Below are 15,257 nucleotides of genomic sequence, written 5' to 3'. Positions count from 1 at the left end.
GCCTCCCAAAGGTGTCCACACACTGATGCCCGGAACTGTGCACATGCAATCAGGGTCGTGCATATGCAAACAGATTCATGCATATGCAAACAGGGTCATGCATACGCAAACAGAGCTGTGCATATGCACACAGGGCTGTGCGGATGTGAGTAAGGAAATGATCCCGAGCTGGATTATCCAAGTGGGCTCTAAATTGAATCTCAGGGTCCTTAGAGAGGAGGCAGGGAGGACAGACAGAAGCAAAGTGCTGTTACAACAGAAGCCGATGGGTGAAATGATTGTGGTGTGTGGTGAAGCTATGCTGTTGTTTTGAACATGAAGGAAGGGGCCACAATCCAATGAACACAAGTGGCCTCTAGAAGCTGGAAAGGGCCCCCAGTGGATTTCCCTCCTGAGCCTCCAGAAAAACCAGCCCTGCTGACTCCTTGATTTTAGCCCAGGGAGACTGATTTCAGACATTTGACCTCCAGAATGTATGGGAATAAATTTGCATTGTTAGAAGCTACTTCATTTGTGCTAATTTGTGACCGTAGCCACAGGAAGCTAATACACACACCAAGCAGTGACAACCTCTCTCTAGGGCATAGAACTTTTCACTGTACCAAGCATATCCTCTATGGCATTAGACTCTCACAACCCAAGCTGAAGACACTGAGCTTGGAGAGGGGAAGGGACCTGCCTAAAGTCACACAGCCACTGAAGGTGGCACCAGGACTGGGCCCAGGTCTTAGGTTCAATGGCTGCAGTACAAAGACCTTGAGCATTAGACCAGGGTTGGCGAGGAATGTAGCAGGGGCTGGTGAGCACCAGTTGCCTTTTCTCCTGTCCAGCCTCTCTTCCCAATATGCCTGGAGCTGTCTCTCAACCTCTCCAGCTTGGGGGTGTAGTTTTCCTTAGATTCACTAATCTACCCCATATGCATCCAACAAATGCCCCCTTTGCCTAGGTCAGCTGGAGTTGGTTTCTGTTCCCTGGACACAAAGAACCACAATTGAATCCCATGGTCACCCCAGGGTATGGGGGAACTTGGGGCCTCTCCCACTGTAGCCAATCACCTTTCCCACCCCATCTCAGCTTCCTGAATCATAGGGTGAATAGTTAAGCAACCACCAATTGGGCTTCCCACCTACACTAATCCCAGAGGCCTGGTGGGTTTATCCAGCCCGTATCAGGTGTCCTGGGAAGGCTTGCTCTGTGGCCTCATAGCTGTCCCATGACAAATTTATTAAATGCTCTGGCAGGACAGACTCTCATGGGGATAGACATCTGGCTGCAGATTGGACTGGCAAATGGACAAATGGACAAAGGGACCAGAAAGACTTCACGATGTGAGACTTTAAGCTTTGGCCCAGGGCAAGAGAGGGGGCCAAACAGAAAGGAGGTGTGGGGCAGAGAATCAGAGAAGCTGGTGTTTCCTCAGTGCCCACACAGACCTGCCAAAGTTCTAGTGCTTTAGTGCATTGTAGCTGTCTTTATAGCCAGCCTGACAGGATCCCCATTATACAAATGGACAGACAAAGGCTCAGGTGATGCTTTCTCACCCAAGTCACACACAGCCAATTAGTGGTGGGCTCAGAATTTTAAGTCATGTCTTTCCAATCTCAAAGCTCATGCTTTTTTCATAGCATCACACCTTGAGAAGCCACGAGGTTGCTGCCAGGGCTGAATCTGGCTCGTGGCATTCAGGCCAATTCAGTAAGTGCATATGGAGCACCAGCTGTGGACAAGGGGCTGTGAAAGACTCAAGGGAGAGTCCTGTGGTTTTGAGCTCTGCCCTCAAGTAGGTGACCATCTGATGGGGCAGACAGAAAAGACATGCCCTGCTTCTGCAAGAAGAGTGTGGCCCAGGCAAAGGATGCCTGTACATGGGGAAATATTTCAAGTCATTGGCAGAGGCTGGGGAAGGCTGCCTGGAGGAGGGGACATTTGAGCTGCAAAGGATTTTTACAAGTGGGAAAGCCAAACTTTTCTCAACAACTAAATGGGAACTATAATAGCTGCCTCTCACTGCTGTGCACACACATATACAGACACAAACACAACTGGACACCTAAATGGTATGAAAACAATAGTACAAAGGTGAGACATGGAATGAAAGTATACTGCAATAAATTTCTTTTACTAGATGTTAGGTAGTATAATATCACTGAAGGATAATATTATTCAAAGATAGACTGTGATAAGTTAAAGATGTATACTATAAACGCTTTAGCAACCACTAATATAATACAGCAAAGAATTACAGCTAATAAACCAACAAATAAGATAAAATGAAGGAATGAATAATACTCAATCACAAAGAAGGTAGAAAGGAGGGAAAATGAAACACAGAACAAGTAATACAAATACAAAACAAAAATCATGATGGCAGAATTAAATACTATTATATCAACAATCACATTAAATGTAAAGGTCTAAACACCTCAATTAAGAAACAAAGATTGATAGGTTGGATAAAACAAGCAAGACCCAATTACATGCTGCCTACAAGAAGCCCACTTTAAATATAAAAAAAATAATAATTTTAAAGCAAAAGGATAAAAAAAGATGTACCACACTAATTACCATGCTAATGTACTTTGCTATGTTCATATTTGCTACTTTGCTACACTAATAGCAAAGTAGATTTTAGAGGAAAGAATATTGCCAGGAATAGTCATTTCATAATGACAAAAGGTTTCAATTCTCAAGTGAACATAACAATTCTAGATGTTTATATGCCAAATAAGACCTTCAAAATACATGAGGCAAAATGAATAGAACTACAAAAGAAATAGACAAATCCAGTTATAGTAATAGGTTTCAACAGCTCTATGATTGACAGGGCAAATGTACAGAAGTCAACAAGAATATAGGGCTGGGCATGGTGGCTCACACCTGTAATGCTAGCACTTTGGGAGGCCGAAGCAGGCAGATCACCTGAGGTCAGGAGTTCTAGACTAGCCTGGCCAACATGGCGAAACGTCATTTCCACTAAAAATACAAAAATTAGCCAGGTATGGTGGTGCATGCCTGTAGTCCCAGCTCTTCCGGAGGCTGAGGCAGGAGAATTGCTTGAACCCAGAAGGTAGAGGTTACAGTGAGCCAGGATCACACCACTGCACACCAGTCTGGCTGACAAAGTGAGACTCTGTCTCCAAAAAAAAAGAAGAAGAAGAATGTAGAAGACTTGAATAACACTAGCAATCTAGCAATCAATGTGACTCAACTGGCATGTTTAGAACACTTCACTCACGACAGCAAAATATAAATTATCTTCAAACACACAGAACATTTTTCAAAAATATATCATAATCTCATCTCAATAAATTTAAAAGGGCGTGAAAAATCTCAATAAATTTAAAAGGATACAAATCATTCAATGCATGTTTTCTGGCCAAAATAGAATAAAATTAGACACCAAATAATAGAATGATATCTGTAAAATCCCCAAATATTTGGAAACTAAATAACACTTCTCTGTAAAGCACAGTTTAAAGAAATCAAAAAGATAATTAGAAAATGGAAATTGGAAAACATTTTGAAATATTTGAAAATGAAAACACAACCTACAAAGTCTGTGGGATGTGATTAAACCAGTACTCTAAGTAATTTATAGCACTAAAATATCCCAGCTTTTACCTGAAGAAACTAGAGAAAAAAGGACAAATCTAACCAAAGAGAAACAGAAAAAAAGGAAATAATAAAGATTAGAGCGGAAATCAATAAAATAAAAAAAATAGAATCAATGAAACCCAAAACTGGTAATTTGAAAAGATCAATCCGACTTACAAACATCAAACCCTACTCATCAGAAAGAAAAGAAAGAAGACAAATTACCAATATGAGAAATGAAAGAGGTAGCATTACTACCGATTGCACACATATTAAAAGGAATATGATGAATAATTGTATGCGAAGAAATTTGACAATTCAGATGTAATGGACAAATTCCTTGAAAGACAAAAACTAATAAAGCTCACTCAAGAAGAAATAGATAACCTGAATAGTCCATATTTTTTAAGAAGTTAAAAACTTTACTACAAAGAAAACTCTAGGCCTCACTGGTGCATTTTACAAAACACTTAAGAAAGAAATAATTTCAATCTACACAAAATTTGCCAGAAAATTTAAGAGAAAAGAGTATTTCCAACTTATTCTATGAAGCCAGCACTACTGTAATATCAAAATCATACAAATATATTACAAGAAAAGAAAGCTACAAACTAATATCCCTCATGAAATAGATGCAAACATTCTAAACAAAGTTTTAAAAATCAAGTCCAGCAACACATAAAAAAATAATACATATGATCCAGTATAGTTTATTTTAGGAATACAAGTTCGGTTTAACATTAGAAAACAATGTAATTCATAATATTATTGCGAAAATATTATATTTACAATATAAAAGCACATTGTCTCAATGGATGCAGGAAAAGCATTAGTCCAAATCCAACATATATTGCTGATAAAAACTCTCAATAAACTAGGAATAAAAGGAAACGTCCTCAACCTGGTGAAGGGCATCTGTGAAAAACCCGCAACTAACATCATACTTAATAGTGAAAGACCAAAATCTTTCCCTCTAAGATCAGGAATAAGGCAGGGATGTGCTCTCTAACCACTTCTAACCAATATTGCATGGAAGGTTCTTGCCAGTCTAGTAAGATTTTAAGAAGAAAGAAAAAAGAAGGAGGAGGGAAAGAGAAGGGAAGTAAGGGAGGGAGGGAGAGAGGAAGTGTCTTTGAATCAGAAAGGAGCAAATGAATCTGCTTTATTTACAAACAATTCGACCATCTACAGAGAAAATCTTATGGAGTCTATGAAAAAAGCTACTAGAAGTCACCAACGAGTTTAACAAGTTTGCGGTATAGAAGATCCATATACAAAAAGCCATTGTGTGTCTGTATAATAGCAACATGACACAACCGGAATAAAAACATTTACAGAAACACGACAAAAATAGGAAATACACACATAGACAAGTCTGATAAAAACCTGTGTGAAACTGAAATTTGCTGAGAGAAATTAAAGAATACCAAAATAAATTGAGAAATAGACCATATTCATGGGTCAAAAGATGCCAATTCCCCCAAAATGGATCTACAGATTCAAAACAATCTCAATCTCAATACCAGTAGTTATAACCCAGCCATTTCACTCCTCAATATGTACCCAAGAGAAATGAAAGCCTATATCCATACAAAGGCTTATACACAGATGTTCATAGCAGCCTTATTGTAATAGCCCCAAACTAGAAACAACTCTGATGTCCGTTAACTGGGGAGTAGATAAAAACAAACCAGTGCATCCACTTAGTGAAACAGTACTCCGCAATAAAAAGGAACAAACTAGTCATACAAGTGACAATGTAGATGAACCTCAGAATACTTATACTGAGCAAAAGAATCCAGGCAAAGCAAGAGTGCATACTTTATGACCCTATTTATATAAAATTCTGGAAAATGCAAACAACCTATCATGAGAATTAGCAGAGAAGCGTTTCCCTGGGGATGGGGGTGGGGAGGAACATGGGAAACTTTGGGGGTTGTGGACATATTTATTGTCTTGATCATAGTGATATTTTCATGGGTGTATAAAGATGTCAAAACTTACCAAATTGTACACTTTAAACACATGCAGTTTATTGTATGTCAATTCTGCCTCAACAAACAATTGAAAGGGAACAAAAATATCTTTCTTTTAGGTATGAAGATAAGAGGAAAGAAGACTGTATGGTCTTAATGTTAGGATTTTGTTTTTAAACCAAGAATTTAGTTGGTTGTCGGGGTATTCTCTTAGCTTTTTAGCCCTCTAAGTTTTTCAGCAGCATCTCTTTCTAGGCCCAATTGGTTGAGATAGAAGCAACATTCTTCACCCAATGAGAGGCAGGGGCCCCCTTTTTCACCCATTGTAAGATCTAATCACCATCTATTTTGGAGGACTACTCCAGCCAAAGAGTCTAGTTGGTCTTGGACTGTCTTTTTTTGTTGTTTGTTTGTTTGCTTGTTTGTTTGAGACCGAGTCTTGCTGTGTCGCCCAGGCTGGAGTGCAGTGGCATGATCTCGGCTCACTGCAACCTCCGCCTCCTGGGTTCGAGCAACTCTCCTGCCTCAGCCTCCAGAGTAGCTGGGATTACAGGCATGTGCCCAGCTAATTTTTGTATTTTTAGTAGAGACAGGATTTCACCATGTTGGCCAGGCTGGTCTCGAACTCCTGACCTCAAATGATCTGCCAGCCTCGGCCTCCCAAAGTGCTGAGATTACAGGCGTGAGCCACCATGTCCACCCTGGTCTTGGACTTTTATCAGGCTTTGGGCTATATCTTTTAATGAACCTTGCAGTTCTGTTGACAGAGCTTTAAAGTATGTTAAGGAGGTGGTCAATCCGCCTGCTCCCAACCCAAGCCCGGAGGTTATACCTAAGGCGGCCATTAAAGGAATAACTTGGATGGCCCTTCTTTTTCTAACATATTGGACGGATGGAATGGGTAAAGATAGATTAGGAGGAGCTAGTCCAATGGAGGGAGAAAGATAAACTAGGGTACAGGATTCTATTCGGACCAGGAGAGGCTTGCATTTGCTAATATGGAGTCCAGACAGGAACCCATTGCTTCTCTAGAAATTAGATGCAAGCCTCTTTCTCCAGGCTCACTGGGTGTGCTGATTCTACTTTTCCATCTTCAAGCAGCAGAGATGGGGGTAGGAGAGCGAGCGACCATGGAAGGAAAGTTCCTGACCTCTTGTAAAGCCTGGGCCCGCCACGCCTGTTCTGTGCCAGGCCAGCCCCTTTTGTTCAAGCCTGTTGAGTTGGACTTCCATCAGGCAACAGCTCAGAGAGAAGCTGCCGGCCCTGTAGCCACGGGACAGGGGGGTGCAAAGCCATAAGAGCCTTGTGCCAGGCAGCTTTCCCAAAGCAATACACATTGTCCCTGGGTTCAGGGTAGAGCAACTCACTGGGAGGAGGGAGACCTGGATTCCGGTCCAAGCTCGGAGACTCAGAGCTATGTGACTTTGAGCAAGTCACTCCCCTTCCCATGCCTCAGTTTCCTCCACTGGGCAGGATGGGGACAGGGGAGAGGCGAGCCCCTTGGGTCCAGTATGACACAGCAGTTTTATCAACCTGTGAGCAGCCTCTCCGGGTGGATGAAGCAGAGCCACCCCCATGGGAATGGGCACAGCTTTGCCCGGGTTCCTGAATTCAGGAGACCTGGGACCAGTCTGTGCTGCCAGCCCTGGTAGCCAGTGGCCAAGCCTGCTGGGCACTGGGCCTGCCGCTTCTCAGCACGTGCCTTCCCAGAAGTCAGCATGGGAGGCACACATGGGAGCTGCTGTCCCCAAGGAAGGCACAGAGCATACCAGCAGGGCCTCTGGCCTTGGGAAACAGGCCCCGGAAGCTGGAAGTAGGTGACCAACAGTTCTGATTCTCCCATGCAGAGGAGAAGCTTCCCAAGATGGGGACCTTGCAGTGACAAAACCAAGCAGGAAAATCCCAGGTGAGCTGGAACAGCTGTTCACCCTAACAGAGCTGCCACATTCCACGACACTTCCTCCTCCTCCTCCTCCCTCACCACCATCACCTGTTTTTCCACCATCAAGACGAGCAGGGCCTGTACTGAGCAGTGAGGAAGCTATGGTTCCTAAAAGTGGGGCCCTCTTACCGACTTCTCTCTCCTACCTCAAAAATAATTTCTTGGGGGCCGGGAGTGGTGGCTCACACCTGTAATCCCAGCACTTTGGGAGGCCAAGGTGGGTGGATCACGAGGTCAAGAGATGGAGACCATCCTGGCCAACACGGTGAAACCCTGTCTCTACTAAAAATACAAAAATTAGACGGGCGTGTTGGCACACGCCTATAATCATAGCTCTTCGGGAGGCTGAGGCAGGAGAATTGCTTGAAACCGGGAGGCAGAGGTTGTAGTGAGCCGAGATTGCACCACCGCACTCCAGCCTGGCCGACAGAGCGAGACTCCATCTTAAAAAAAAAAAAATCATTTTTCTTTCTGATAAAACCCAGTGTGGTCGAAGATTTGGGGTTCACCGGCATCCTCTCTCACCAGCTTTCCAATCCTCAGCAAACTTGAGTAGAATGTGTCAAATCCCTCTAAAATCTAAATATGCTCTGACACAGCAATTCCCCGTCTAGGAATGTACCCCACAGAAACAATGGGCTAGGTGTGAAATCTGAACACACAAGTGTGCCCACTGCAGGGATGTTCAAGGTCACAAAAAATTGGCAACAACCTACATGTGCATCATTGGGGATTGAACAAATAAGTTCTTGTAATAGGTGACCAAGAAGTTTCATTTTAACAAGTCAGGGAGCTGTGCTCGTTGCCCAGAAAGATTACAGAATATGCCAATGCTTGAATAAAGCAAGTTCCAGAACAGCCCGTAGCCATTCCGCTGACAAGAAGTGGCATGTGTCTACCTGGGGAGAAGTGGAGAGTGTCTGCGAGGGTTCCCGGGGTCATCTCTGGGGGCAGGGGTGACTATCAGCTGATTTTTAAAGAATTTTTTCCTTGCATTTTCCTGTGTCATTTCAATTGTTTCAAATGAGACTTTATGTAATCCATGAGTGCAGTCACTGTGTTCCACTGTTTGTTTATTTATTTATTTATTGAGACAGAGTCACACTGTGTCATTCAGGCTGGAGTGCAGTGGCACGATCTCGGCTCACTGCAACCTCCACCTCCCGGGTTCAAGCGATTCTCCTGCCTCGGCCTCCCAAGTAGCTGGGATTACAGGCGCGAGTCACCGTAACGGGTACTTTTGTATTTTCCGTAGAGACAGGGTTTCACCATGTTGGCCAGGCTGGTCTCAAACTCCTGGCCTCAGGTGATCTGCCCGCCTCGGCCTCCCAAAGTGCTGGGATTATAGGCGTGAACCACCATACCCAGTCTGTTCCGCTGTGTATAAAAAGTTTCCTATAAAGAGGCTGCCTGGGGACATGAGGGTTGGCAGCACATCTCGACCTCTGTCCTCGGACATCGGGGCCTAGAGCTGGGTCAGTCCCAGGGTCTCTGGAAAGAGACAGCCGGAATAAGCCAGATTTGGTCTGCCAAGACCAGAGTCTTTTGTCCCCACATTTGGAAGTCAGCCCTGTCATAAATTTTGCTTTCTTGGGAAGGTTCTGGGAATTCTGGGAGACTGAAGGGGTGAGAGGTGTAGAGAAGGATTCTTTGGTTTGCAAAACACAGAAGCCCAACTCCAACTCCTGAGGTCATTCTATAACCTGTGTAACTCAGAGGCTAGGAGTGGATGGTGCTATCTTCAGGCACAGCTGGATTCAGCAACTTCAACGAAGCCCCTGGGCTTCTCTTTGGCACCATCTGTCTTTCTCCTCCTCTTTCTCCCCATCCTCCTCTTTCAGTGCTTCTTGCCTCTGCTGCTCTTAGTGAGTTATCCTTAGACTTCCCATGGCAAACGGGGACTCTTCAAGGGGGAAGAAAACTGTTGGCAGGCTCAGGCAGCTTTGTAGCTCTTGAGCCAAAGCAGAAGAGGCCCTGGGAGAGATACACTGGGCCCAGCCTGCATCAAAGGTCCACCCCTGTGACCGGGAAGCATGGATCCTAGGACTGCCAGCCCCCTCCGAACCACACCGAGGGAAACATACATTGTGTGAGATTCCCCAAAAGGAAGAGGAGCTGCCCACTGAACAAGGAGGGTCTCCTGCTCCCCAGAAAAAAGTCTCGGATGCCGCGGTCCTCTGCAGCAGCATTCTCTAGACCCTGGCCTTGTCTGCACAGCAGCCAGAGCTGGCCCATCCTCGAGGCCCACAGTGCCTCAGAATTACAGTTAATCACAGGCGACAACAGGCCTCGGCCACTATAATCCCCACACTGCCCAGAAAGGGAAGCAATATCACTCCCTTTACTGATGAGAAAATTGAGCTTCAGAGAGTCCAGGCAAGTTGCCCCAGGTCTCCAGATAGTAAGTAGCAGAATTGGACCCAGAAGTAAGGTCCTCCGACTTCAAATCTTCTCTTGCTATGCTTCTCTTGGGTTGAGGTTGTGAGGTATCACCACCACCTTTGTCTCCACCATCACCACATTGACATCCCATCACAACTACCACCACCTCACCATCTCCACCTCCAGCATCACTACCATCATCAAAACCATCACCCGCACATCCACCACCACCATCATGAACACCATCCCTTCTGCCTCTACCACCATCACCATCACCACCACCACCGCCATCACCAAAACCATCACTCTCAGCTCCACCACCACCACCACCAAAACCATCACTTCCACCTCCACCACCATCACCATCATTAACACTAGCATCACTAAAACCATCAACTCCACCACCACATCACTAAAATTATCACCTCCACCACTAATGTCACCATCCCCACCACCACCATAACCATCACCCCCACCATCATCATCACTAAAACTATCACCCCCATCTCCACCACCATCACCATCAACATCACTAAAATCACTACATCCACCTCCACCACCAACATCACCATCACCACCACCACCACCACCAAAACCATCACCCCTACCTCCACCACCACAACCAAAACCATCACTTTCACCTCCACCACCAACATCACCATCACCACCACCACCACTATCACCAAAACTATCACCCACACCTCCACCACCACCACCACCAAAATCATCACTTCCACCTCCACCACCATCACCATCATTAACACTAGCATCACTAAAACCATCACTTCCACCACCACATCACTAAAACTATCACCTCTACCACTAACATCACCATCACCACCACCATAACCAAAACCATCACCCCACCATCATCATCACTAAAACTGTCACCCCCATCTGCACCACCATCACCATCACCATCACTAAAATCACTACCTCCACCTCCACCACCAACATCACCATCACCACCACCACCACCACCACCACGACCACCAAAACCATCACCCCTACCTCCACTACCACTACCACCATAACCAAAACCATCACCCCGACCATCATCATCACTAAAACCATCACCCCCATCTCCACCACCATCACTATCACTAAAATCATTACCTCCACCTCCACCACCAACATCATCACCACCACCATCACCAAAACCATCACCCCTACCTCCACCACCACCACCAAAACCATCACTTTCACCTCCACCACCAACATCACCATCACCACCACCACCACCATCACCAAAACCATCACCCTCACCTCCACCACCACCAAAATCATTACTTCCACCTCTACCACCACCATCACCATCATTAACACTAGCATCACTAAAACCATCAACCCCACCACCACATCACTAAAACTGTCACCTCCACCTCCACCACTAACATCACATCACCACCACCACCATAACCAAAACCATCACCCCCACCTCCACTACCACCGCCACCATAACCAAAACCATCATCCCCACCATCATCATCACTAAAACCATCACCCCCATCTCCACCACCATCACCATCACTATCACTAAAATCATTACCTCCACCTCCACCACCAACATCACCATCACCACCACCACCACCATGACCACCAAAACCATCATCCCCACCTCCACCACCACCACCACCCAAATCATCACTTCCACCTCCACCACCACCATCACCATCATTAACACTAGCATCACTAAAACCATCACCTTCATCACATCACTAAAACTATCACCTCTACCTCCACCACTAACATCACCATCACCACCACCACCATAACCAAAACCATCACCCCACCATCATCATCACTAAAACTATCACCCCAATTTCCACCACCATCACCATCATTAAAATCACTACCTCCACCTCCACCACCAACATCACCATCATCATCACCACCACCACGACCACCAAAACCATCACCCCTACCTCCACTACCACCACCGCCATAACCAAAACCATCACCTCCACCATCATCATCACTAAAACCAGCACCCCCATCTCCACCACCATCACCATCGCTAAAATCATTACCTCCATCTCCACCACCAACATCACCATCACCACCACCACCACCATAACCAAAACTATCACCCCCACCTCCAACATCACCATCACCATCACTATAACCATCATCCCCATCTCCACCACCACCATCACCATCACCATCATCACTAAAATCATTACCTCCACCTCCACCACCAATATCACCATCACCACCACCACCACCATCACCAAAACCATCACCCCCACCTCCACTATCATCACCAAAATCATTATTCCCACCTCCACCACCACCATCACTAAAACTATCACCTCTACTCCACTGCCAACATCATCATCACCACCATCACCAAAACAATCACCCCCACCTCCACCACCACCATCACTAAGCCCATCACCTCCACTTTCACCACTACCACCACCGCCACCACCATCACCATCCACAAAACTATCACTGCCACCTCCATCACCACCATCACTCCCACTTCCACTGCCAACATCACCACCACCACCACCAAAATCATCACCTCCACCTCTACCACCACCATCACTACCACGACAATTCACAAAAATATCACCCCCACCTCCACCACTAACATCATCAAAACCATCACCCCCACCTCCAGCATCACCATCACTAAAACCATCACCTCCATCTTCACCAGTACCATCACTGAAACCATCACCTCCACCTCCACCATCCTGACCACCTCCACTATCACCATGAAGAGCACCAATCCCACCACCGCCACCAACAATCCACTACCACCACCAGCATTGCCAGTACTACTGCTATTACCACCATCACCTCATCACAATCAGCACCGAAAACAACACCACCATTACCATCACCATCATCAACTCCACCCCCAGCACTATCAAAATCCTATCACCATAACTACCTCCTCACCACCGTGTCCATCAGCACCACCATCACCACCCAATGCTACCACACTGTCACCATCACCACCACATCACCACCCCACTATCACCCTTAGAAATAACCCACCACCACTGCCAGGATCACCACCATCAGAAACAGCAACTCCATCACCATAGCAACAACACAAACATCACAACCACCATCTGCCAGGCAATTCATCATGGAGCCATAGTTCTTAGATGTAGACATAGCCAGGGAACTGTGAAGCTAAACTGAAAGGGAGAAGTCAATTGAATCAGATTTTCCAAGTGGGAACTCCTTTCATGGAGACCAGGCTTGCACCCAGCTCTTTTGTGGCCGGAACCCAGCATCCTGCTCACAGCATTGAAATGTCTCAGAGATGGCTGAGCTGATCCCAAAGGCCTGCGATTGTGTTTTTGGGAGAAACACACGTGAGTCACTGGGGCTGACATTCTTTGGGATCTGACAAAGTTTCTACTTTGGGGACCTGCTAACTGACTCAGCAGCGATTCACTGAGGAAAACCAACAGGGCAGCTGGGAAAACGTGCCCCATCAGTGTGTGCTGGGGCCACTGTGCGCTGGAGCTGGGGCTGGGGGCTGCACACTCGGCTTCTTGCTGAATTCTGTATAGAACTCTAGGTGGAACTGAGCCTCAGAGAGATGATGTGGGGCACCCCAAGGGTGCACAATGAGTAACAGGTAGAGGCAGAACTTGAACCAAAATCCCTGTGACCCTAGAGCCTCCAGTCATCATTGCCCTGTGCTATCACCACATGGTCACCGGGCTGGCCTTCCATCTGCTGCACCCTCATGGACCTGGGAGCCCTGCTCTGGCTTGCACCCAGCTTTCCAGGAGGATGCCTGGGTCGTCCTGGGGGTGTTTAGAGTGTACCCCATCAAAGCCTCCTGCATAGGGAGGCAGTGGCACATCACAGCTAGAGGCCTCTCTGGGGTACAGACCACCCTCCTAGGCTGCCACAGAATGGGGAAGTGTCAGGTTTCCACTAGGAAAGAATGACTCAAGTTGGGAAAACTACTGGGTACAGGGAAACCATAGGGGCAGGCAGTGCACCACAGTCCATGCCCCAGGGCTGCGGCCACCCTGAGGCTGAAGGTTTAAGGGAAGGCATAAGCCATGCCAGAACCTGGAAAGGAGGGAATGTTGGAGAGGGGCCTGCCTTGGGAGAAGCTTAAGACCTTCAGTCTAGGGACACAGCCTGCCCAAAGTGACCCCAAAGCTTTCGATGCTGTGACATGAATATTCTGACTTCACCCTCCCCTCTCCCTTTCACCTACAGCTGGGGCACTCCCAAAAGGAAGCCAGAGGGCATGGGAGCTGAGGAATGAGTCCATCGGGCTTAGCCCCTGAAGCAGAGAGCAGAGCAGAGGGCAGGCCTGGAGGGGCAAAAGAAGGCATTTCCGGCACAGGGGTTCTTGCCCTGGACACCCACAGAACTCCTGGGGTGCAGGGACTCTTGGGGCCTCCTCAGCTTGGGCTGAAACGCTCCCCGGGTTCCTCTCTTCTTGTCTCTTGGCTCCTGCCCTGCCCTGGGGGTGGTCAGCGTTACCTCTGGGATTGACAGAGGGTCCGTCCACACCTCTCACTCTCTCCCTGCCTCACTCATGGCCTGTGTCTCCCTACCACTCTCCTGAGTCCCACTTCTCTTTCTTTTCCTCAGCTACTGTCTCCATCCCCTGAAGGATCCCGCATTGTGGTTTATCCAGACCCAACTTATGTGGGTGTTAGAGTGAGAGACCCAACAGTTACCTAAGACTTTTGGGGAGGCAGGCTGGGGGCACCCTGTGCAGTCTGCAGGGGAAGGATGCAGCCCTGGGGAGGAAGGACACCCGCTGCCCTGGCATCTGCACACAGGGCACTGGGTAATGATTCCCCCGGGTGAATGTCTGGCTCAGGAATGTGGACTTTCCCAGGGGTGGGAAGTTGGTGGCGAGAAGGAGAAACGCCCTTGGTTTGGGGACTCCTGCAACGCGCCCTGAGGCCGGAGGTTGAAAAGCATAGAAAGTTGAGGTCTCTGCTGGAGTTACCCACCAAAGGAGGGTACCACTGGATGGGGTGATAGGTGGCCAAAGTGGGGGAGACAGGAGGCAGCGGCCAGGGGGAGCATGAAATCCTTCCAATCTCAGGTCTTCCAGCAGGTCTGGGGGTCCTCAGGGGGTTGCAGGTGGCCCTGGAAGTATCTCTGGGGACCAACGTGCACATGGCCCCATCTACACGCACCCCTTCATCCTGGGCTGTGCTCACTGCCTTCTTGCAAGGAGCAGAACTCACCACCACTGTCCCTGTGGGTGCCAGCAGAACGCCCAGAGTCGTTGCCAGTGGTCAGCCTGTAGAGCACCCCTTCCCTCTGCAGAGCTTGCATCCATGTTGGGAAGTCCCCAGGCTCCACGTCCAGCATCGTGGTGCACAAACACCTCCGCCTTCCTGCCCCTCTGTAGC

At 47.3% G+C, this 15,257-nt stretch overlaps 1 annotated feature.

Moving 5' to 3' along the window:
• Positions 13,743-14,609: an enhancer, noted in NCBI's record as "H3K27ac-H3K4me1 hESC enhancer chr11:69088091-69088958 (GRCh37/hg19 assembly coordinates)". NCBI's record gives its function as "activates a minimal SCP1, AML or CMV promoter by ChIP-STARR-seq in naive H9 embryonic stem cells {active_cell/tissue: H9 hESC(naive)}" and the evidence as "EXISTENCE:reporter gene assay evidence [ECO:0000049][PMID:30033119]".

The sequence above is a fragment of the Homo sapiens genome, chromosome 11, assembly GCF_000001405.40.
Source record: "Homo sapiens chromosome 11, GRCh38.p14 Primary Assembly".
In the NCBI taxonomy this organism is placed as follows: domain Eukaryota; kingdom Metazoa; phylum Chordata; class Mammalia; order Primates; family Hominidae; genus Homo; species Homo sapiens.
This window is presented reverse-complemented; position numbering and strand designations above follow the sequence as displayed.